Source organism: Homo sapiens, chromosome 19 (genome assembly GCF_000001405.40).
Source record: "Homo sapiens chromosome 19, GRCh38.p14 Primary Assembly".
Taxonomy (NCBI): domain Eukaryota; kingdom Metazoa; phylum Chordata; class Mammalia; order Primates; family Hominidae; genus Homo; species Homo sapiens.
The window spans coordinates 34,170,514-34,196,576 of NC_000019.10; the positions used below are offsets into that span (position 1 = coordinate 34,170,514).

At 40.5% G+C, this 26,063-nt stretch overlaps 1 protein-coding gene across 30 annotated transcripts in view; it reads left to right on the forward strand.

Moving 5' to 3' along the window:
* Positions 1 to 1,990: 1,990 nt before the first annotated feature.
* The window catches only part of LSM14A (LSM14A mRNA processing body assembly factor), a 56,785-nt gene continuing 32,712 nt past the window's right edge, over positions 1,991 to 26,063 (forward strand). For 24 of the 30 annotated variants that reach the window (NR_169261.1, NR_169264.1, NR_169266.1 and 21 more), the window contains exons 1-2: positions 1,991 to 2,250; positions 23,965 to 24,128. Coding sequence is in view for 19 of the 30 variants with exons in the window: in NM_001114093.3 (NP_001107565.1) it covers positions 2,130 to 2,250; positions 23,965 to 24,128 (285 nt within the window). In the remaining 11 variants the exon portion in view is untranslated. Of the gene's footprint in view, positions 2,960 to 21,837; positions 21,956 to 23,964; positions 24,139 to 24,705; positions 24,808 to 26,063 lie in introns of all 30 variants that reach the window. The other 6 variants (NM_001384431.1, NM_001384432.1, NM_001384437.1 and 3 more) reach the window with 6 other exon arrangements.

The window sequence follows — 26,063 nt, forward strand, 5'->3', positions numbered from 1 at the left end:
ATGGCACCATTGCACTCCATCCCGAGTGACAGAGTGAGACTGTCTCAAAAAAACAAAAACAAATAATTCAACTTCCTCGCATGGACCTTGTACTGAAACAGGGATTTCCAAACCTTTCTTTGTAGCCACTGTGCACCAGCCCCATCAGAGCTCTGTCTCTCTCCTGTGTCCCTCTCTTATGATGCCAGGCTTCTCGCCATTTGCTCACTCAGCTCACCGTCCTGCCTGTGCTCTGCCTTCATCCTGCTGTTCATTCATGCAGCAAATATTAACTGAGCAGCTGCCCTGAGCCACGTGCTGTTACTAGGCCCCTGATGATACGGCAGCAACCAAAACAACATCACTATCTCAAAATGTTTACATTCTAGTGAAGGAGACAGATACATACAAATAATTAAACAGACATACTTGAGAGAGATACATGCTATAAAGAAAATACAAGCTGAGTTAAGGAGATGAGTGGTATTATTTTAAACAAGGCTGTCAGGGACGTCATCTCTGGAGGTGATGCTTGAGCAGAGACTGGAATAAAGTGCTCAAGTACTGGTTGAATTAGACGCGACTGGAACAGAACGAGAAGCTAAATCATGTATATCCTTAGACACCAAAGTCTGGTTTTCTCTCTGTGTAACATGGGATCAGTAGAGTGAGTAGAGGAAGGACATGATCTGAGTTAGATTTTTTTTTTTTTTTTTGAGACGGAGTCTCGCTCTGTCGCCCAGGCTGGAGTGCAGTGGCACAATCTCGGCTCACCACAACCTCCGCCTCCTGGGTTCAAGCAATTCTCCTGCCTCAGCCTCCCAAGTAGCTGAGACTATAGGCGCGCGCCACCACGCCTGGCTAATTTTTTTATATTTTTAGTAGAGACGGGGTTTCACCATGTTGGCCAGGCTGGTCTCGAACTCCTGACCGGTGATGCGCCCGCCTCGGGCCCCCAAAGTACTGGGAGTACAGGCGTGAGCCACTGCGCCCAGCCCTGAGTTAGATTTTAAGAAGATCTCTCTGGCTGCTGTATTGAGAATAAAGTACTGGGGGCAAGAGTTGACACAGAGGCAACTTTTAGAAGGCTACTGCAATAATTCAGCCCGAGTAATCGTGGCTTGTGGGAGAAGTGTAGGAATGGAGATGAGAAGTCAGATTTAGGATATATTGTGTATACATAACGGAGAGGTGTAGTCAGAACAGATGTGGAAGCAAGACAGGGCAAGGCTGACTCACGGCTTTTAGTCTGAGCAGCTGAGTAAAAATGGTACCGTTTACATCAAATAGGGAACGGTGGTGAAGGAGCAGGTTAGAGGGGAAACAGGGAGCATGGCTTTGGACCCTTAACGTTTGAGATTCGACAGAAACCCTGGTTCACGGAATTGATCCAAGCTACATACTGATAATTGGGATTAGTGAGTTACAATGGCGTTGCAAGCCATGAAACTGGTTCAGACCGGCTGAATGAGCGGGACAGGAAGGGGCTGAAACACTTGAGTCCTTGTGAGAGCCCCAGCTCCAGGGGCAGCCTCGGGGGAAGCTCCCCGGGCGATGACTGCGGTAATGGAGCCGTAGGAGCTCCACGAGGTGCAGGTTCAGCGTCTTAGAAGGATGAGCAGCGGCTCGCCACAGCTCGGAGGCGGGTGGGCAGCGCTCCAGGCCGAGGGCCCCGCGTCGGCAAAGACACAGGACCCACGACAAGGCGGCCACGGCCTGAGTCAAAAGGAAGGCCGCGCGCCTCCTCTCCAGCCCGCAGCAAGCGGGTGCCACGAGGCACTCAGCCGGTCCCCGAAGTTCCTCTCACGCGGCCCCAAGACCACCACCGTAGTCCAGGCCAACAAGCGCTGCCGGGACTCCCGAGGCCACGAATGAGCCGGGAGCCACCAGTAGCCGGCCAAGTCTCGCGAGAGCGCGGCCTCGCCCTCCCAGCATGCCCCGCGCCGCCGCCGCTGCCGCCGCCGCCGCCGCCGCCGCGCCGCGGCTTGAGGGCGGGAGGCTGGGGGAGGGTAGCGGAGCCGGCGCCGCCGCCATGTTGGGTCTGAAGCGGCTGCTGTAGGCGCCGACGGAGCGAGCGGGCGTGCGGAGCGGGCGACAGTGGCGTGGGATCTGCCTCTCTGCGAGCAGCTGGGAGCGGCGGCGGCGGCGCCATGAGCGGGGGCACCCCTTACATCGGCAGCAAGATCAGCCTCATCTCCAAGGCGGAGATCCGCTACGAGGGCATCCTCTACACCATCGACACCGAAAACTCCACCGTAGCCCTTGCCAAAGGTACGCGGGACCGGGCCTCAGGGTGGGGGCCGAGCCGGGCGCCGCTCGGGGCTGCTCCCCGCTCCGGCCCGCGGCCTCCTCGTTCCCTCCCCTCCCTCCGTCGAGCTCCGGGAGGCCTCTCGCCTCCCTTCTCCGGGCCCCGGCGTCGCGGGCCGGACCGCGGCCTCCCCGCGGCTCCCTGGTTTCCGCCCCCCGGAATGTCCGCGCCTGAAGCCCGGGGAACTACGGGACTGAGTGCGCGGCGGGCGGCCCTGAAGTCCGAGAACGGGCCGGAGAACACGGAGAAACGCGTCTTCCAACTCCGAAATTCGGGGCTTCTGCCGTCTTAGCACAAAACAAAGCCGGAGTATTCAAAGAATTTTTCCGCCCAGCTTGAGTTCATCGCGGATGCGTTGACTACACAGCACCCATTTTCTCACTTTGTTCATTTCAATTCGTGGCGATCTTCCTCTGGTGAACTCTTGAGTAATGTGCTAAAACTTTGGGTTTGCTCTGCGACGCAGACATTCTCGAAATGCCATCGATGCCGTGGAGCAGATCCCATCTCCCTCGGCTCATCCTCTGTTGGTATTTACCTGTTAAACCGGAATCCTCAAAGCCTGTTGTGCAACCACCTCATTAGGGCGCGTGGTAAAAATGCTTGCTGCTGCCCCGACGCCCCTGTTTCTGGAAACGGGTTCAAGCTTGATCCAGGATCCTTCTTGACCAGGCAAGCTTGACCTTTGATCCAGGCTCAGTGGGCGTTGACTGATCCCTCTGGAGGCTCTCTGGGAAAGGGAATTCGGCCGAGAAGGAAGGTGCCCCTACCCACAGTGTTAATATTTGGCATCCCTAGAGTCTGTGTGGGTTTTGTTTCCGTTCACACGTGCAGGGCCTTTGCTCCGCCAGGAAACCAGAAAGAAAATAAACTTTAGCTCCTGAATCTTAAAGGAAATCTCACAACAGTGTAAAATACTTTGAGGGAAGCTAGATAACCTAGGTGATTTTCCCAGCACTTCTGGTAGAGGTGGGAACTGCATAGCATGGTTAGGGACCCTGTGGATAGGTTAGGTCCAAGGATAAAGAAGAAGATTTTCGAAATCTGTAAAATTTTAAAAATCGTTAACAGATAGGGGAGTGGTTTCACGGGATCAAGTATTTAATAATATTTCTTGGATGCTCTGGTAAATCCTTTATTTATTTATTTATTTATTTATTTTTCTAAGATGGAGTTTAGCTCTTTTTGCTCAGGCTGGAGTGCAAAGGCAATGATTTCGGCTCACTGCAACGTCCGCCTCCCGGGTTCAAGTGATTCTCCTGCCTCAGCCTCCCAAGTAGCTGGGATTATAGGCGCCTGCCACCACCCCTAGCTAATTTGGTATTTTTAGTAGAGACGGGGTTTCACCATGTTGGCCAGGCTGGTCTCGAACTCCTGACCTCAGGTGATCCACCCGCCTCGGCCACCCAAAGTGCTGGGATTACAGGCATGAGCCACCGCGCCCAGCCTCTGGTAAATCTTTTTAATAGCCCTGGTGTTGGGACAAATCTTATACCTGGGTAGGGAACCTTTTGATGTTACAGAACTGTACACCATAAAGGAGTAGTATGAGATGGTGATAGTTGCACAACTCTGCAAATTTGCTGAAGATCATTGAATTATACACTTTTTAAAATCACCAAGTCTAATTTTAAAAGTAGTATGAAAAACCAGGGAGTACCCCCACATTTCCCTCTTCACCTTGTGAAACATTATGCAGTGACACATTACCTCATTAAAACACCTGTAGACTTGGCGGTTAGAAATCGGCTATAGGATGTATGATGGATGGTATTTGGTGTTTATTAAAGACTTTCCCAGTGATGCTTCTTAAGTAACTTAGTTTTTGCTTGGCCTTATTTTGAATTTATTTTTATATTTTTTATACAATAGTTACTTAGCTGTATAGTGTTTTTCTGGCTTTTTGAAATTATGAAAAAGCCTCTCTTTATGAAATTATGAAAAGTGCTGGGTGAGAGCCAGATATGGGTTGAAAATAATTTCTCATTAAAGTGGTTTAATAAATTTGTTTTAAAGTATTGCTTTACCTAATCTGAATTTAAAAGTGTCTTGCCAGCTTAGTGACTCAATAAGTTGGCTGTGTTACCTTTATTCCTCACAAAGAAAAAAAATACATTTGAAAATTTTAAAGTATTTTTGTTCTTTTTTAAAAACTACGAACATATCCTTTTATGCAGGAACCCCAAAAGTCTACATTTTAACAACCCACATTTTAAAAAACTTTTCAGCAGCTTTTAGAGTCAGTATTTCATTAGTCTGTAATAGTTAAATTCATATGACATAATGACATAAAATATAAATTTGTTCTTTGTGTCATGACTTGATAAATATATGAATATAGCAGTGAAAAATTTTTTTAATCATTGAATTTATGTTTGTACTCATGGCTTTGATATTTCATCCCACATCATTATATGCTTTTTCTTTTTCTTTTTTTTTTTTCTTTTTGAGATGGCGTCTCACTCTGTTGCCCAGGCCGGAGTGCAGTGGCACAATCCTGGCTCCCTGTAACCTCTGCCTTCCAAGTTCAAGCAATTCTCCTGCCTCAGCCTCCTGAGTAGCTGGGATTACTGGCGCGTGCCACCACGCTTGGCTAATTTTTGTATTTTTTAGTTGAGACAGGCTTTCACCATATTGGCCAGGCTGGTCTTGAACTCCTGACCTCAAGTGATCCACCTGCCTCAGCCTCCCAGAATGCCGGGATTACAGGCATGAGCCACCGCACCCGGCTGCTTTTTCTTAAGCAACATGAGTTAAATGTGTAACCAGTTTGGGGAATTTGATTATGTTCGCAAAAACTGACATTATCAAACCTTTATATATTAGTCTACATGATATTATCTAATCGAAAACTACATTATAACTGTCTAGTCAATACTGGACACATTTCAGATTTCAAGATTAGAAGCAAGGAGTTCAATCTTAAAATTTTAAAATTTACATGACTTGTTGAGTAATTCGATATCAGAAAATTTCACCTTCCATTTCAAAATTTGAACGAAGAATGGTAGTCTAAAAGATTAAAGCCAAAAGTGTTTGTTTTGTTTTGTTTTCGTTTTTTTTTGTTGTTGTTTTGAGACAGAGTCTTGCTCTTGCCCAGGCTGGAGTGCAGTGGTGCGATCTTGGCTCGCTGCAGCCTCCACCTCCCGGGTTCAAGCAGTTCTGCCACAGCCTTCCGAGTAGCTGGGACTACAGGCGCCCAACACAGCTGGCTAATTTTTGTATTTTGAGTAGAGACGGGGTTTCACCATGTTGGCCAGGCTGGTCTCAAACTCCTGACCTCAGATGATCCACCCACCTTGGCCTCCCAAAGTGCTGGGATTACAGGTGTGAGGCACTGCACCCGGCCTGAAGCCAAAAGTTTATTCATGGAATTTATAATACAGTGTGTATTTGGATGTAGAGATCCCTGTTACTGTTTTTAAACTATGGATTAAGAGTTAATCTCTTTGAGTAACAGTCTTAGCATTCTCTTTTGAACTTTTTTTTTTTTAATTTCTCAGGGAGAGTGTTATTGGGAAACCTAACTACACAGGCTGAAAAGATACATAAGATAAAAATGAAATATTTTTAAACAAACATCTTTGTAACCACCACCCAGGGCAAGACAGACATTGCCAGCATCCCAGAAGCCTCCCACCACCTATATTTTCCCATCACAACTATCACCATCTTAATTTAAGCTAGATATAAATGTTCTTCTGACATTTATAGTTTTACCATATAAGTTTACATCTCTAAATAATAGAGTTTAATTTTGCCCATTTTTAACTTTATGTAAATAGGATTGTGTTGTATATATTTTATTTTTAGCTTTTATTGTTTCATAATATTCCATCATGAATATAACACAAGTTTATTCCTTCTGCCATTGTTTTGGATATTGCATTTAGATTGTTTGCAGTTTGGGGCTATTATAAACAATGCTTTTATGAACATTTCTGTTTAAGTGCACTGGTGCATGTTTATTTCGTTTTCTTGAGATTATATACTTAGAATTTGAATTGCAAGAACATGGGGAATGTTGGTCTTTATCAGGTAATGCCAGGTAGTTTTTCAAAGTAGTTGTTTAGTGGTTTTTACTTCATTTATTAGTATGTAAGAGTTCTTGTTTCATATCCCTTACCAACAACCGTACGTGGTATCATATATTTCAATTCTAGCCAATCCTGGTGGGTATGTAGTTGTATTTAGTTTTAATCATTTCCCTCATTACTAAATGGGGCTGACCAGCTTTTCATATCTGGGTGTTTGGATTTCATTTTTCATAAAATGCCTTTGAAATCTTTTCCTTTTTTAAATCGAAACACGTCTTTTTCTAGAGTTCTGTATTCTGAATATATCTCCATTGTTGGATGTATATATTGCAAACATTTTTTCCATTTAGTAGTTTCTTTAAATTAACAGAAGTTCTTCATTTTAATGTAAACATGTTCATCAGTTTTTTATGGCTAGTGTTTCTTTTTTTAAAACATCATAGAGATACTTTGATTATCTTTAAACCTTTTTGTGCTTTGCTTTTTCACATTGACGTTTATAATGCATCTGAAATTGATTTTGTGTACAATGTGAGATATTCAGAGCTTTATATTTAGTAAGGGATTCACTTGGTTTATATTGTCCATATTATAATTTAGGGCTTGGATATTATAATTTAAATATATCTGGAACTATAAACTACTCTTGAAATTTTTGGCTATTTACATTTGATGTGGTATATAATTAGGGTAACCATATGGCCTAGTTTGCCCTGGTGGAAAGTCCTTGTTTGTGCCTGCTCTGGCATAATTATTAAAAACATCCCGGCTGGGCAGGGTGACTCAGGCCTGTAATCCCAACATTTCCAAAAGGTCAAGGCCGGGGTATTGCTTGAGCCCAGGAGTTCAAAACCAGCCTCGGCAATACAGGGAGACTCCATTTCTACAAAAAATTTTAAAAAGTGCATTAGCCAAGCATGGTGGCATGCATGTCTGTCGTCCCAGCCACTTGGGAGGCTGAGGCAGGGGGATTGCTTGAGCCCAAGAGGAGCTGTGATCATGCCACTGCACTCCAGCCTGAAACATAGAACAAGACCTTGTCTTAAAAAATAACAATGATAGCCTGTAATCCCAGCACTTCAGGAAGCTGAGGCAGGCGAATCACCTGAAGTCAGAAGCTCGAGACCAGTCTGGCCAACATGGCGAAACCCCGTCTCTACTAAAAATACAAAAATTATCTGGGCGTGCTGGTGCATGTCTGTAATCCCAGCTACTTGAGAGGCTGAGGCAGGAGAATTGCTTGAACCTGAAAGGCGGAGGTTAGAGTGAGCCAAGATCACACCACTGTACTCTAGCCTGGGCAACAGAGCGAGACTCTGTCTCAAAAAAAAAAAAAACACAAAATAATAATAATAATCTGTTTTCTCTTTTGAAAATGTTTCAGTGTGGATAAGTTATCACACCACATAATCAAAAGCCTAATTGCAGAGGTGCTGTGAAATGGTCGATGTGCCTTATTTTCTGCTAGAGATGTCACAGACTAGCTTTAGTTCTAGAAAGTGAAACAGGTAAGTTTGAGGGGCTTTGATCCTCGGAACCTAAGCATATGTCAAGAAGTCATAAAGGCAACCTAGAAAGGCTTTGATGTCAATCTGCTATGTATGTTTATAGATGATCTGTGTTGCAGTTTGTTTCTGCAGTTTGTTGCAGTTTGTAGTCTGTGTCACAGCTCTGAATTTATTTTCTTCTCAGCACTGATCATGACTTACACTTAATCTTCTTTGCTTATTTGCATATGTGTTTATTGTCTGTCTTCACCTTCCCCTTCACCTCCAGACTCTGAGCTCCTGGTATGAAAGGTTGTTTAGTTAGTGAGTAAATGGAAATGATTTAGCATTTTAGCTTATTGTTCTTGTAGAAGTATCTTGGGTATACCTCCAAATAATGCTTTTCCATGTTCACAATTGCATTTCCCTATAAAATTAAATTATCCTGCCTCACATTAAGAAATCTTGAAGAATTTCAGTGAGTAGGGATGCAAGAGGATGAAATCTAGTGACATAATTAACATTATTGGGGAGGTAAACTCTTTGTGACTCAAGCTCAATTATAATTTTCATTTAAAGTTTAAAGGAAGCCTCCATTCAGGGTGTAGGAAGAAATTACACAGTGGTGACATGTATGAATATTTTATGGAATAGTTCCAGTTGTGTTTGCACCTACGTCTATAAGTGAGTAGGATGCCTAAATAGGCTAAAATGAATGAAATTCTTATAAAAAATAAATTCTTACATTTAGTTAGCTTACCTGGATAATCATTCAAATGGAAACCAGGTTGCTACTGCACTGGGAAAAGAGACTTTATGAAGAACGATTATATAAGCCACTTGCCTTTAAAATAAGTTGTTCTTAAAATCAAGAGATTGGTGGAAGAATAGAAAAACAAGTAAATTGTTAACAGATTTCTTTAATCATCTGCTAAGTCTGGCTCATTGGCATAATTTATCTACTTCTTGATGTTAGTCACATAGTCATAAACTATTACCTTATTGGAGAGAGTGGAAGAGCTTTGTGTGATGGATAAAATACTTGCGGGGTGCTTTATTTGATTTCTTGCATTACTTGGGGATCTAAATCTAGCAATTCACAAAATTACTATCTAAAATGACAAAGATCTAGTGAAACTTCAAGCCACAGTTTCTTTTTGTTGCCCTATTTAGTGATGTTGCCAGTACTTGGAGCCTTGGAAACAGTTTATTATTGTTACATAGTCCGCAGAAATACTTGGTAATTCTGGGAGTCTGAAGTCAGGTGCCAGAAACTGTTCATTTTCTAGTAGGGGTAAGTAAGGTAAGCCATGATTTTCTAAGTCGGAAGTAAAGAAAACAGCATAAAACTGAAGAAAAAAAATAGTAGAAGGAAGGAAGTAGGAAGAAAAAAGAAATCTTATCTGTGCATGATACATAGCAGGAGTTTTGTATTTAACTCAGTGCCACAGTAATAATAGCAGTAACTACAGATAGTTTAACTTGAATTTAATTATTCCGTGCTAGAAGATGCTTGCTATAGAAACAATTTGTCTTTCTCTCATGATGCTATAAAATAATATATTAATTAGCTGTTTTAAAAACTAGATACCATTGAAGTAAATTTTGTTGTTGTTGTTTTGAGACAAGAGTCTCACTCTGTTGCCCAGGCTGGAGTGCAGTGGCACGATCACAGCCTTGACCTCCCTGGGCTCAGGTAATCCTCCTGCCTCAGCCTCCCAAGTAGCTGGGACCACAGGCACACACCACCACACCCAGCTAATTTTCTGTTTTTTGTAGATACAGGGTTTTGCCATGCTGCCCAGGTCGGTCTCTAACTCCTGGGCTCAAGTGATCTGCCTGCCTTGGCCTCCCAAAGTGCTGGGATTACAGGTGTGAGCCACAGTGTCTGGCTTGAAGTAAGTTTTTTAGTGGACAAAGTGTGAGTTGGTCTGTAAAATAATTTATTCCCAAGGGCCTTATTCTAGTTTTGTAGGGTTTTTTGTTTGTTTGTTTTTTTCTGGAAGAAAATGCGACCCAAAATGCCAGTTGGAATACTTAGCAGCTTTTTGGTCTTGGACAAGTTATTTAACCTTAGCTTTAACTTCTTCATCTTTTCAATAGGGATGGATAATAATGCCCATCTTTCAGAGTCATTCTGATAATTAAATGAGGTGATATAAAAGAAGTAACTAGTTTAATGTTGGTGCTTAATAGAGAATAGCTGTCCCATGTTATTTCCCACCACGATCTCCCTCTCTGTCTAGGTGCTCAGTCTCTCTAGTAGCCCAACTCAGTCAGTCATTCACACCTACTGTAGTCTACTGTCATCTTACTGCCTTTCACTGTCCTCTCATTCCCCTCATAACTTTACTTCCTTCTTTATCCTGCTTCAACTCCATGAGCAACCACGACAGTCAGTACACATTCCCTCAGCCCCCACCCCATTCCCCTCTTGCTGTCTTATACAAGAAATCACAACCCTGATTATATCAACACAGATGTGCTGACCAGCCTCACTCTAAATTTATGTTCGCTAGCCTCCGCAGTCATGGTCACTTCCTAGCAGTCACACTATACTTCCATAATCCATTTCACTTTTCTACATGGCTATTCCATTCATTTTCCTCAAGCCTCCAACACCTCCCCCATATTCACTTTCAGCCCCTTAACCGTGCTTTCTATAGCAGTTAACTGAGAAAAGAACAGCAAACGAAAGATAATTTTGATAAACTTACCCCTCACATACCCAGTTACCTGCATCTGTTCCCCAGACTTCTATGTTTTTTTCTGATCAATATGGATAAACTGTTCTTATTTCTGTCTAAGACCACCCTTCCACTTGTGCAGCATTTGTCCCCTCTTGGTGATTCAAGAACATTGCTCCAGCAGTTCTCTACTCTCCTCAGTTTTTCCTTCCCTAACGTATCTTTCTGTCTGCTTACAGATAGGCAGTTATTTCTTCTACCTTAAGAACAACCAAAAAACCCCACTGTACTTGAACTGAATTTCCTCTTTTCTAATGATTACCCCATTTCTATCCTTCCCTTTATAGCGAAACCCCTTGAAGAAGTTGTCTACACCACTGGTGTTCATTCATTTTTGAGCCCTGTTTACTAAGGTTTTTATTCCTACATATGAAGTTTTCTTATCAAAATTACCAAAGATTTCCATGTTACCAAATCCAGTAGTTAGTTCTTAGTCTCATTCTACTTCACCAGTCAGCATTACGTGGTACAGTTAGTCTGTTCTCTGTGAAGCATTTTCTTAACTTGATCGTATGCCATTTTTTTCCTCATATCTCACTGGTTACCTCTCAATCTCCTTGGCTGATTGAACCTGTAAGCCGCCAAATGTTGGGAGAGCTCCAGGGCTCAGTTATCTCCCCTTTTCTCTCTGTCTGTTAACATTTATTTAATCATCTGCATTCTTTTGATGATCTCATCCATCTAGTTCCTGGTTTCAAATACTACCTGTATATCACTGACTCCTATCTCTAGCCTGAATTTCTCCTCTGAACTCCTGACTTGTATATCCATTGCCTCTTTAACATCTCTACTTGTAGGGAAGTCTGCTAGAATCTCAATTCAGCATGCTCCAAACCTGTTCCTCCATCAGCCTTCCCCATCTAATCAAATGACAGCTCTATTCTAGTTGGTAAGACCAAAACACCTTGGAGCCATCCTTAATTCCTCTCTCTCTGTCTCACCTCATGTGATCCGAACCTATCAGCTCTGCTTTCAAACTAGATGCAGAATTTGACCTCTGACCACCCCTACTACCCTGGTCCATTATCTCTCACTAGTCTATTCAGAGATACTCAGATTCCTGTTTCTTGTTTCCAATATTGACCTCTCAGTTGATTCTTTCTCCTCCTCCCAATTTTACTTGAGTGAATCTTTGTAATTAAAAAATAAAATATATGGGAAATGTAGGTGACAAATTTTCTTAGTGAACCTATGTTTTCTTGTGCTTGACTGGTTGGTTGGCTATGTATTTCCAAATTAAGAGTCTTTTTTCTGTGGAACTTTGAAGTTACTGCTTTTTGTTCTTCTAATATTCTGGGGTTGCTGATGCCAGTCTGACTCTCAGTCACTTTTCTCTCTGGAAGCTTTTATTTAGAATTCTCTATTCCTGGAATTCACAAATGTGATCACACTGGTTTGTTGTTGTTTGTTTGTTTTTTGGTTTGGTTTGATTTTTCCTCTGAGTGTTTCTCTGTGGACCTTGTGAATCTGAAGAGTCAACTCTCGGCCGGGCGCGGTGGCTCATGCCTGTAATCCTAACACTTTGGGAGGCCAAGGCGGGCAGATCACAAGGTCAGGAGATTGAGACCATCCTGGCTAACATGGTGAAACCCCGTCTCTACTAAAAATACAAAAAAAAAAAAAAAAGCCAAGTGTGGTGGCAGGCACCTGTAGTCCCAGCTCTTAGGGAGGCTGAGGCAGGAGAATGGTGTGAACCCGGGAGGCGGAGCTTGCAGTGAGCCAAGATTATACCAGTGCACTCCAGCCTAAGCGACAGTGAGACTCCATCTCAAAAAAAAAAAAAAAGAGTCAACTCTCTTTAAATCTAAGAAATCCATTCATTCTCTCTACCTCTGACACGCCCTCCCTCCCCTCTCCCCCTCCTCTTTCTAGCTCCATCTCAGATAATTTCTATCTTGCCTCCTGCTCCCCAGCCTTGTTATTGTTGTTTTTAATTCCTCATGGATGCGTTTATCCTCCACCCTGCTTTTTCACTCTTATATCATATTTTCATATCTGTCTCTTGGTTTTATCATTTGGAGATTAAAATATAAAAACAGCCATAAGGAAGAATGCCCAACTGAAAGCAGCTTAGAGAGTCAACATTAAATTTAAACCATTGGGTAAAGATAGCAAACTGGACATGCTTTTACTTTTCCTTCCTGTTGATAAATCCTATCAAAACTACGTGAGAGGGACTTTTAAAAAATACATAAACCCGGCCGGGCGCAGTGGCTCACGCCTGTAATCCCAGCACTTTGGGAGGCCGAGGCGGGCGGATTACGAGGTCAGGAGTTCGAGATCAGCCTGACCAACATGGTGAAACCCCGTCTCTACTAAAAATACAAAAATTAGCCAGTCGTGGTGTTGTGCACCTGTAATCCCAGCTACTTGGGAAGCTGGGGCAGGAGAATCGCTTGAACCCAGGAGGCAGAGGTTACAGTGAGCTGAGATCGTGCTATTGCACTCCAGTCTGGGTGACAGAGCGAGTTCGTCTCAAAAAAAAAATAAATAAATAAATAAACCCATAAAGGACAAAACAGATTTGGAAAGGAGACAACATCAACACAGTTTGGAAGGCTGAAAAGCAAATAGATGAGTTTAAATGACTTAGCAAAGTTGAGAGCCGCAACCTAAGTAGTCAGTGGGAAAAGCCAAGATGTAACTTGACTTTCACCCCAAACTCCTAAAAGGCTCAGGAGTTGACATCAACAGGCACAATGGAAACTAGAAGATTGAAGTAATTGGGATGAAGGGTGTAAGTTTTGGGTTATAAGTTTAACTTATTAACTTTTAACTTTATTGGGTATAAGTTACAATACTATAAAATTCACCCACTGTAAGTGTGCGGTCCCGTGAAAGTTGTGTATCCATCACCACAGTCCAGTTTTCTAACAATTCCATCAACTCAAGAAGCTTCTTTGTTGATGTTTAGTCAGTAGCTGCCTACGACCCCCAGTCCTAGGCAACCTCTGATCTACTTTCTTTTCTAGACTTTCCTTTGCTTTTTTTTTTTTTTTTTGAGACGGAGTTTTACAGTTGTCACCCAGGCTGGAGTGCAATGGCGCAATCTTGGCTCACTGCAGCTTCTGCCTCCCGGGTTCAAGTGATTCTCCTACCTCAGCCTCCTGAGTAGCTGGGATGACAGGCATGCACCACCATGCCAGCTAATTTTTGTATTTTTAAGAGACGGGGTTTCACCATGTTGGCCAGGCTGGTCTCGAACTCCTGACCTCAGGTGATCCACCTGCCTCGGCCTTCCAAAGTGCTGGAATTATAGGCATGAGCCACTGCGCCCAGCCTTTCCTTTGCTTTTAATATGTAAATTATTAAATTGATTTCCTAATATTAAAACATTCTTGCATTTTTAGAAACCTTAAATTTCAAACAACTGTATTTCTCTATATCAATTATCAATTGGAGTAATTAGCCATTATCTATAATAGATTCATTACATGGAGTTCATGGTAGATTTCAGGGAGTCTTGATCCCCTGAAGTTATAAGCAATTTTTATTTACATACAGAAACATTTGGGGAGAGGGTTCATAGATGTCTTTAATTTTCCAAGACCCAGATAAATACAAGCTACCTTTGCTTATGCCTAAGTTAAAAGTTTTAACATATCTTTTCACTTTTCTCCCTTTGTCCCATTTTCCAGGTTTTATCTAATTTGGGGTTTAGGTTACAGATTGTTATTATTACATTGCTTCTATTTTTAGAATCCCTTAAGAGCAGTTTTATTAGCAATGTTGACTTAGATAAAACTGAGGGGGCTTTTTTGTTTTTTGTTTTTGTTTTTCGTCAGAGACAAGGTTCTTGAGGACACAACATTTAAGCTGGGGCCTGACAGATGAGTTAGAATTAGCCACATGTAGAGGCTATCTAGGAAGATGTTAAGGCTATCTGTTATGTTCAGTTACATAAGAGAGATCCTTTGTAAATGTGTTTTGCTTTGTAATAAACCTTCTAAGGAGCCAGTATTGTTTTGTTATTACATCACTCTCTAAAATTTCAAATTGCCTTTTTGGTTTTATAAGGACAAGATGGGCTCTTAACAAGATGGCTTTGGGGTTTTTTCAGTCGAAGATGATGTAACCTCTAGAGTTAAGTGCGAAGAAGTTGATTTTGAGAATATATTGCAGAAGGTGCAAGGAACGTCATCTGGGTTATGACCTCTGGAAGTGGAGGTAGTTTTTTGTCATTGGGTCGCCAGTGCTTGGCATGTGATCTGTGAGGTGATCGAGAATATTGCAGACACAAGGGCAGGAGTAATGCCTCTGTTAGGGGTGTTAAGTTCGTAGTGGGTTCAGGAAGAGATGGTGGAGGCTGAGGGACAGATGTTTTCATTCAGTGCAGTAATATTTGCTAACAGGAAGAAAGTAGTGTGGGTAAGGGTGAAGAAGGGGCCAGAGAAGAGAGTGCAGATGTGCAAAAAGTGAGAGTTTGTGGAAGCAGGCCGTGATGTGGTTCCAAGAGCTGGACTGTCGAATCTTATTTTTGTAAAGCTCTGCTCTTAAGTAAAAAACCCAGAGTCACCTTTCTACCATGCTACCTTCAGGGCCTGAGCAAGAGTACTGCGTTGTAGAAGAGGTGGTGCTTTTTAGTATTTAAGTAATTAAACCTTCCTTGTTGTATTAAATCCATATATAATACCTTATTCCAACATATCTCAGATAGTTTCTGTATCTCAGATAGTTTCAGCAAGAGTTTGTGTATGGCACCGAATGGACAAGAGCTGTACATATATATAAATGTCAGAAAGAGAAGAAAAATACTAACTGTAACTTTTTGGTTTCCTGGTTTGCTGCTTTTGCATGTAGACTGTTCTTAAATATGCTGAGGTTGGGTTTGTTTTTCCCACTTTCCCATTCTATCAACATCAGTTGTTATTTACTCTAAACAATCATTCTTTCATTTTATCCTAAGTGAGTTTCTTTTATAATTTAATTCAGTTCCCTTGGTATTAAACACTGTTCAGTACTTTGGAAGTAGCTTACTTAATAGCTTTTTCTGCTGTGTGATTTATTCAAGAAATATTCAAATGTCAGCTATATGTAGAGCACTGTGTTAGATTCTGTGGGAGTTGCAAAGATGATCTAGATACAGATCTTTCTCCAGATCTTTAAATTCTAGAAGGGTAGTATAGACAGAATGATAGAATGCTGTGTGGTTTTCAAAGGAAGAACAGATTATTTCAGCCCAGGTGGAGTTGGGTGATGGCTAATTTTATGTGCCAACTTGACTGGGCCACAGTGCCTAGATATTTGATCAAATATTTTCGATGTTTCTGTTTAAGTATTTTTTGTATGAGATTAACATTTAAGTTGGTAGATTGTGAGTAGCCTCCATCTGTGGGTGGGCCTCATCCAGTCAGTGGAAGGCCTTTAATAGAACAAAGACTGACCCCTGAGCAAGGAGTTCTGCCAGCCTGCTCTGCAGATTTTGGATTTACCAGGCCTCCTTAATCCCTTGGGCCAATTCCTTAAGTCTCTTTCTGTGTTTGTATATGCACATCTGATTTATTCTGTTTCTCTATAAAACCTGACCGATACCTGGAATCTTCAAGTTGAAATTTAGGATAGGGGGAGAGAGAAAAATAGAGGACAGAAAACCTGATCTGTGAACTGAGAATAATGAGCTTTGTTAGAATTTAAGTTTGAGTATGCTGGGACCAGGTCTTGGAGCTGATACAGGACTGAAGAGTTTTAACTTTACATCATAAATCTTATTCTAAGTTTTCATTTGAACCTGGTTTTAGTTTCTTAACTTTGTAAGCGTCTTTTGGATATTTCAGTGTTTCATTTGTTGCTCTCAAATTTTGGTATTCAACAGACTCGTTTCTTTTTCTTTTCAGTTAACATTAGAGTCTAATTTACAATTTTTAGTTCATGTCAAAAAAAAGTTCAGGCCGGGTGTGGTGGCTCACACCTGTCATCCCAACTCTTTGGGAGTCCAAGGCGGGCAGATCATAAGGTCAGGAGATCGAGACCATCCTGGCCAACATGGTGAAACCCAGTCTCTAATTTAAAAAAAAAAAAATACAAACATTAGCCTGGGCGTAGTGGTGCACACCTGTAGTTCCAGTTACTCAGGAGGCTGAGGCAGGAGAATTACTTGAACCCAGGAAGCAGAGGTTGCGGTGAGACGAGATCGCGCCACTGCACTCCAGCCTAAGCAACAGACCAAGACTCGGTCTCAAAAAAAAAAAAAAAGTTCAGGCTTTGGGAAATTTTTTTTTTTTTCTTTTGAGACAGTCTTACTCTGTTGCTGAGGCTGTAGTGTAGTGGTGTGATCATAACTCACTGCAACCTCCGCTTCTGGGGTTCAGGCAATTCTCATGCCTCAGCCTCCCAAGTAGCTGGGATTACAGGCGTGTGCCACCACAACCGGCTAATTTTTGTTTTTGTTTTTTCTTAAATTAGAGACAGAGGTTTCACCATGTTGGCTAGGCTGGGCTCAAACTCCCAACCTCAGGTGATCTGCCCACCTTGCCCTCCCAAAGCGCTGAGACTACAAGTGTGAGCCACCATGCCCAGCCTGGAAAATGTTAATAGTGTCATTTGGAGGGTACTAGCTTCACTTAACTATGTATTTTAAGTATATAATGTTTATCATGCTTAAATTTAGAACATTTTTGGTATTTTATAATGGAGGTATTGTATTGGGAAGTTTGTCACTACAACTTATTTCTCTGGCCTTGTACTATGATTTTATATACAAGTATTATATACACTAACAACCAGTTTGGCATTAGGATGATGTTTGAGCTTAACTAAATCTGGAGACTGGATTAGATGAGTGATTTTGCCAAATAATTTGACCCTGTTTTGTTGTTGTTGTTGTTGTTTGTTTTTTTAATGCATGTGATGCATTTCTATTAATAAATCTTTGGTGTTATTTCAAGCTAGAAATATAAAATTGATTCTATTTTAAGACTAATAAAATTATTAGCTGGGCATCATGGCTCACACCTGTATGTAATTCCAGCACTTTGGGAGGCTGTGGTGGATGGATCGCTTGAGCCCAGGAGTTGGAGACCAACCTGGGCAACATGGCGAAATCCTATCTCTACAAAAAATACAAAAATTAGCCAGGTGTAGTGTGTGTGCCTGTAGTTCTAGCTACTCAAGAGACTGAGGTGGGAGGATAGCTTGAGCTTGGGAGGTAAAAGTTGCAGTGAGCCGAGATGGCACCACTGCCCTCCAACCTGGACTGGATGACAGAGAAGGGACGCTGTCTCAAAAAAAGAAAGAAAAAATTATTAGGGCAATGTAGCAGCATGATGAAGTTTAAAATGTAGAGGACAACCACCCCTAGTTTCCCCATTCTCCCCAACTACTTTTGTCATTCTCTGTATTCTCTTGTAGGCTGTATTTGTAGGTGTGTGCGCACATGTGTGTTTGAAGTTGAAAATTCACATTACATGCAATTAACCATTATATTGTGTACAATTCAGTGGCACTTAGTGTAGTCACAGTGTTGTGCAACTACCACCTCTCCTTAGTTTCAAAACTTTCCATCATCCTACTAAAATACCCCTAGGCATTAAGTAATCCCTCTTCATTTCCCCCATACCCTGTTGACCACTAACCTGCTTTCTGTCTCCATGGTTTTTCCTATTTCGGATATATTATGTAAAAGGAATCATACACTGTGTGACGTTTTGTGTCTAGCTTCTTTTACTCAGCATAATGCTTTCACGCTTCACTCTTGATGTAACATGTATCAGCATTGTGGTTTTTTTATGGCTGAATAATATTTCATTACATGTATTTTTAAATATATATATCATATATATAAGATATATAGAGATCATAATTTGTCTTTTGTTGATGGGCATTTGGGTTGTTTCTACCATTTGGCTGTTTTGAATAATGCTGATATAAACATTTGTATACAAGTTTCTGTGTGAACATAATATAATCTCTGGTACTTTGTTTTGGCAGCCCTAGCAAACTATATTGTGTGCTTTATTTCCAGTGTAGTGCTTAGCCCACTTGCTGGACTGTAACTTCCCTGAGGGTGGGGACATAAATATAATGCCTGCCTAATATTACTTAAATATTCTAAGCCTGCTGAATCACTACATTTTCGTTAATTCATGATAATCCCCAAAATATCCCAGAATCAGATCAGTATCTATTCAGCTACATAATACTACTTAATAGTAGTAGTATGGCTTACTTTGAAGCCTAATGCTGTGTCAGCTTCAGAGATTAAGATGTCAGGAAACCAATAGTAGTACTTATTAGAGGCATTGCAAGTGGTATTTAGTGTTTAGTGGACCTTCAAATCCAATTCAGTGATATCAAATCCAAGTAAGCAAATAGACTGAGCTCCTTGAGAATAGGAACTGGTTTCCCTAGCATCTAGCATAGTACCTGGGACAGGTGGTGCCCAGCAAGTATTTGAAAGAAATGGGATGAAATGCAATGACATACGGCACCTATGTTCAGCTTAAAACTCCAGTCACATTACCTATGGGTATTTACATTGGAATGTGTAGTTGCTGTAGAATCCCAAAATGAATACTAGAATAACAATGTTCTTTCTCAAAGTACTACGTGTTATGAATGAAAAAAAAAATGATTAGAACATAGTTCAGATTTTGCCAGCCAGACAAAGGCATTTGTGCTGTAATCTGAGGTATGCCTTCCTGCACTAAGAGGAACAGGGTTTATGGGAAAACTAGGATTAGGAGCAGACCATTTGAAATCTGTGCATCTTTGTAATTTAAGCACTAATGTAAACCTAATAAAAAGATAGTAGTGTGCTTAAAGATAAGTTAAAATTTTTAAACAAATAATTTGGTAAATTTAGAACTTTCCCTTTAAAAACAGTAAAGGTGACCAGAAGTGGTGGCACTACTCAGGGCTAGCTGTATTTAACTGTTGTTACCTGCAAATGCAAAAACTAAATAACATTTTAGGAAAAATTGGAAATGAACCAATGTGATTTCTGAATGTACTGACATAATTCCCTTATTTACTGATTGCATATGAGCTAATGTATGTGTTGTAGTAGAATAGTTCCAGTAGTTCTTTACCTTTTCTGTGCTTATCATGCCTCCTTCCTTTCTACTGTTAATGTTCAAGTTTTAATCTTCCAGACTTCTCATTTGTTCTGTAACAGTATCTTCTAGCCACGTGTGCCCTTCTAATCTCTCTTGTGGAATTTGTTCTTCACAATACTACAAGAATTCTATTGCATTGAAAACCCCAAATCTTATTAAGCCAGCCTCCATCATTAGAGCATGTTTCTCAAACTCTTGGTGTGTGCAAATCATTCTTATTCTGTGATTTCTATTTTCATGCTTTTTCAGTTTGCTTCATTTGCCATATGATAGAGGTTTTCTTCAGACCATATTTTGGAAAGTATGCTCTTAGTTTTAAATTCTACTATGGGTTATTTCCAAGACCCATAGTAGAATTTAACAAATTCTTTCAAATAAAAAATTTTAAAGCCTTCGCTTATTATCAACTAGCCAAAAAAAAAAAAAGTGTATCAAGTGACTCCTACTTGACATGATGAGAGATGAAAGTGTAAGTTTAGATACTACTACTGTCTGTTGAGTTTCCTCTCTCTCCATTCATTTTAATCTCCCAATTTTTGTTAAAATGTTGTGATATACTGTTCTTAGTTTGTTACACTTTGTAACTTTGTAGTCTTTTCCAGAACTATTTCTATTCTAGAACCAAAGTAAATTGTCATGTAGACTTCTGTGTTGAAATGAATTTATTGTCCATTTCTTATCTTTAGATAACACTTTTTTTGAGTTATTTTGATATACCAAAGCATAAGTCTCTGTGGCTTGTAGTGGTCTGTTTTTTGTTTGTTTGTTTTGTTTTTTTCTGGAAATACAGTGAAAGCTTTTGATGAAATTTAGGCCTTCATGTTAAGACATTTCTATTCTGTTATATCTTTAATTATATTTTTCTTATTCTTTTGTCTATCTCAGGGGCAGCAGTTAACTGTTGGATCTTCATAACTATCATCTTCTCTCTAACCTTTTTAATGCTGTAGTACTTTTTCATGACATCTTGTTTACCTTTTCTCAAAATTATTCTCTTCTAGTGATTTGGTTTTGCTGCATTGACTGTTGTTGCATTTATTAGTTATGCTGTTTTATTTATCTTGTGTAATTTTCTTTCCTTAATTCTGCATGCTACCCTTTCAATGTTGTTTTGATCATAAAAGTCTATGCTATCTGTTTTTCTTGTGAATGTCGAAGCAGTTGTTTCAGAAAATTTCTTCTATTTTCTGTGATAAATACTAATACTGAATGTATTTCATCTACCTTTTGAAGACTGTGTCCTATCAGGGCAAACTGCTGGTAATGGAAAAAAAAACAAAATAAGTAAATGAAGACCGTGTCCTCTTTGATTCTTCTCTTCTTCTTTACTGCCTTTTTTCTTTATTTTGATACACCTTTTTCTTTCCTTCCATCATTGCCTCCCTCCTTTCCCTCTTTTCTTCCCTTCTTTCCATCTTTCCTGTAAAATTTTTCTTGATTCCCTGATTTTTCTACTCTTTTTTTCTTTAGTAGGTCCTTTCAGTACCTGCTGCTTGCCAAAACGTGAAATGCAGATTCTCTTTTTACTTGACTCTGAATTCACCTGGCTAAGCTCTGTTAGGCCTTAGGAAGCTTAATAGAGCTTCTCTAATTTTGTAGAAGAAGGGCCTTTGACTTTTTCCCTCTCTGCTTCAGGATGATCTCATCTGCTACTTTGGAAGCATGAGACTTTATTTGTTTTGATGGTACTGAGGTTAGGGGTGAGATTGATTTATTTGTAATTAGTCCTTTCTCCTCCTTATCCTTCCTTTTGGATAAAGGTAAAAATATAAAATCCTCCTGCCTGCTAAAGTACTGTTTGGCCATCAGAGAAAGGGAGCTTCAGGTAGGGCATTCCGCAGTCCCTGTCCCCATCTTAGCAAGTTGAAGATGCTAGTCAAAATTTCTCTGGGGGGCAGGAGAGGGCAGAGGATACTTACGTATGGATTCTGGGGTTGGTCTTTCAGTTTCAACTAACTCATTCTGTACCTGAATGATACTATTTAATAAAATTTCGTGGTATGAGTTTGAGAACTTGTCATGATTTTAGGGATATTTTAACTTCCTTTTTGTTTCTTTCCTTTAGTTTTAGGGAAGGATCTTCTGCCAAACTACCTGTGCCACTGTCTTTCCTGGAAGTCTCATAAGTACTAGAAAGAACTTTTAGAATAAGAGTGTAGGACATTATTTACACTGAAATAACATTCTTTTTGTTGTTTTTTTTTTTTTTTTTTTTTTTGGAGTCAGATTGTCATTCTGTCACCCAGGCTGGAGTGCAGGAGCGCCATCTTGGCTCACTGCAACTTCTGCCTCTTGAGTTCAGCCAATCCTCCCGCCTCAGCCACCTGAGCAGCTAGGACTACAGGTGCATGCCAACATGCCCAGCTAATGATTTTTTGTATTTTTAGTAGAGATGGGGTTTCACCATTTTGTTGAGGCCGGTGTCAAACTCCTGACCTCAAGTGATCTGCCCACCTTGGCCTCCCAAAGTGCTGGGATTGCAGGCATGAGGCGCTGCATCAGTTCTGCAAAAAAAAAAAAAAAAAAAAAAAAAAAAAAAAAAAGCGTATGCATTAAAAATACTAAGGGGGCCAGGCGCGGTAGCTCACGCCTGTGATGCCAGCACTTTGGGAAGCCGAAGCGGATGGATCACTTGAGGTCAGGAGTTCTAGACCAGTCTGGCCAACATAGTGAAACCCCATCTCCGCTAAAAAAAAATACAAAAATTAGCTGCGCATGGTGGCACACGCCTGTAATCCCAGCTGCTCAGGAGGCTGAGGCAGGAGAGTCGCTTGAACCCAAGAGGCAGAGGTTACAGTGAGCCAAGATTGCGTCACTGCACTCCAGCTGGGGCAACAGAATGAAACTCCATCTCAAAAAAAAAGAAAAAAAATAGAAATGTTAAGGGGTTTACTTCCTTTAGGGTACTCTTTAAATGAAATATGATGTTTCATATTCTCTATTTGGAACTTCTGTATGGATGCAGACATTTTCAGAAATCTCCCAGGACAATGAACCTGAAACTTATGTATTTATAAGAAACTTGGGGATTTGGTTATTTTATTTACTTATTTTGAAATAGGGTCTTGCTGTGTCACCCAGGCTGCAGTGCAGCCACGCTTCAGTACAGCCTCAATCTCCCAGGCTCAAGCGATCCTCATACCTCAGCCTCCTTATAGCTGGGACTACAGGCATGCACTACCACACCTGGCTAATTTTTAAAAATGTTTATTTTTTTGTAGAGACAGAACATCACTGTGTTGCTAGGGCTGGTCTCAAACTCCTGGGCTCAAGCAGTCCTCCCACCTTGGCCTCCCATAGTGCTGGGATTACAGGCATGAGCCACTGTGCCTAGCCAGAAATTGGCTTAAAATGCAGATTTTTGGACCCTGTCCCCAGCAAAAAGATTCGGTAGAAATCTTTATTCGTAGCCAGTTTACTGTGTTGCAGGTGGTCCCCAGTTTAACTTTGAGTAATGCTGTCTTCATTGTTAAAATAATCAGATTTAATTATATGGTAGATATTTTAGGTAACTAGGGTATTTCAAGCTGTCCCATGGGGCTGAGTAGCTGGCAGCTGCTTGACTTGGCTTCTAGAGGACTTACTGCTCAGCAAGGTAAATGTTATTAATACCTTCATTGCTCTCTGTGTCCCAAAGGTCAATACCCAAACTTTGAGATTTTGTAGACTGGAGGAATCTTTGTCTCCCACTCCTTCCCCAAGAAAGACATGGGTTGCTAATTTTTATTTTGTCGAATGAGGACATTAAAAATAAGTTAACCGTGAGCCAGGCACAGTGGCTTAGGCCTTTCATCCCAGCACATTGAGAGGCTAAAGCAGGAAGATCACTTGAGGCCAGGAGTTCAAGACCAGCCTGTGCAAAATAGCAAGACCTCATCTCTACTAAAAAATAAAAAAAGTTAGCTGGGCTTAGTGGCACATGCCTGTGGTCCCAGCTACGTGGGAGGTTGAGATAGAAGGATCGCCTGAGCCCGGGAAGCTGAGGCTGCAGGAAGCCATGACCACACCACTGCACTCCAGCCTAGGGGACAGAGACCCAGTCTCATCAATAAATAAATAATGAAAGGACATTTTAACACCCCACTACAACCACTAAAGATACAAATAAATAAAAATATAAGAGGAACACAACCTCATAATACAGATAGTCTTTTATATTGCATATATTTAACTTCGGGCAAAAGCCACTCTATTTTCCTCTTTAAAAAAACTTTTTTAGCTATAGATTAATGAATACTTTCTCAGACATTTCAGAACTACTGCTTAGTACTTGAAATACAACATTTAGAATCTGGGGTACTACCTGAATGTGATGAGTAGTCACACATCTCATATCCTTTGTTTTCTTGCCAGTTCGATCCTTTGGTACAGAAGACAGACCGACAGATCGTCCAATACCACCTCGAGATGAAGTCTTTGAATACATTATATTCCGTGGGAGTGACATTAAAGACCTTACTGTTTGTGAGCCACCAAAACCACAGTGTTCTTTGCCTCAAGACCCAGCTATTGTTCAGGTAACTGATGGTAAATTTGTCTTGGAGTACAGGTAAACTCCGCACAGGGTTAGCCTTGGCTTTTTTCTCTCTAGTTGAATGTTCATGTAGCTTATCATTTCCAAGTTACTGGGATACCTGAAATTACTGGATAATGTTCTCATCTAGGTTTTTCTCTTTGTATCATAAATTAGAACTAAGGTAAGAAACAGCTGAGGAATTTATTATGAAATATTTTCTAATTTCAACAACAATTACCATAGCTAACATTGAAGGCTACTCTGTAGAAGTGCTGTGCATATAAGATACCCTCTGAGGTTGGTACTATAATTATTCTCACTTTTAACAAGTGAGGAAGTTCAGATGGAGCCACAATTTGAACAGATCCAGGCAGCCTGCTTCAGAATCTAGGATCCGTGCTACCATGCTATTGAGATATGGTTTATATTGCAAACCAAGGCAATAACAGCTACTCTTAGGTAAGATTATTAGGCTTAATGGGGAAAAAAAAGCAAAATCACATTGTTCTGCATATGTTATAATATGCAGTGTTGGTTTTTGTTTTGTTTTTCTTTTTCTTTTTTTTTTTTTTTGACAGAGTCGTTGGAGTACAGTGGCGTGAACTCGGCTCACTACAACCTCCGCCTCCCAGGTTCAAGTGATTCTTCTGCCTCAGCCTCCTGAGTAGCTGGGATTACAGGCATGCACCACCACACCCGGCTAATTCTTGTATTTTTAGTAGAGATGAGGTTTCACCATGTTGGCCAGCCTGGTCTCAAACTACTGACCTCAGGTGATCCGCCCACCTCAGCCTCCCAAAGTGCTGGGATTACAGGCATGAGCCACTGTGCCTGGCCTGCAATGTTATATAATAAGAAAACACAAACATCAATGTATTTTAACATATTTAGATCAGCTCTTAAATCTCCCAATTTAAGCTTTTTAATAAGGAATTGTAAATTTTGTTGCAGCATAAGCTGGAGAAATTCTCTACTCTCATCTACCCCTACCCTTGTTAAGTCTTATTTTGGTGAAAGGAAGCCTGAAGTGGAAATGTGAATCTCTTTAAATGGAGAAGGAAGAGACACATTCTTAATAGAGATAGCTCCCTACACCAAACACTGGAGTTACCTTACTGTCTCTTTTATATGGCTTTTGATAATTCTCCAGGAAACCAGTTATTTGAGTAATCGGTTTTATGGAAGGAGAAAAACTAAGAGAGCGCATATGAAAATGGTGTTGAATAACTTCTTCCAATCATCATAAACTTCTACTTGATCTCCTTATTCATTCATTCAGTAGTATTTACAGAGTATCTGGCATGTGCTTAACACTAGTGGTGAACACACAGAAAAGGTCCTGCCATCAGTGAGTGTATGTCCTGGTAGCCTTTAATACACTTCATGTTTATATTATGAAACAGTTTATAGTAAGATAATATATGAAGTATACATGTATTAATATATGTTATATATTTTATATGCTTTAGGTTTAAGTTAAAGTTTTTATAAAATGTTCCTCAGCTTAATGTAACTATAAGTAAAAATGTAAATGGTTTTATGTGGGATATGTTTGTTTCTACGTCTGTGAATTTAATAGTAGGCCTCAAATGATTGAAAATAAGAGTAAAATCATACGTGAGATTTATATCAACATCAGACTAAAACTCATTATTACTAAGTGTGATTTTTCTCATATTTTTCTTTAAGCAAAGTTACTTTACTTAAGTAACTTTAATTCTTTCCTCAATCTATAAAACTCTTAATTCAAATGGGGAGTTTATTGTAGAAAAAAGTATTTGTAAGTCACATTGAGTATAATTGGCACATTATAGACAGATACTGAAATCAAAAGGTTGTTTGGCTATTTTAATATTAAGTGCATATTGTAATTCATTTTATATCTAGTAGTTATAATTTAATAGTTTTCTTAAAAGTAAAAATCTGGAATTTTTTT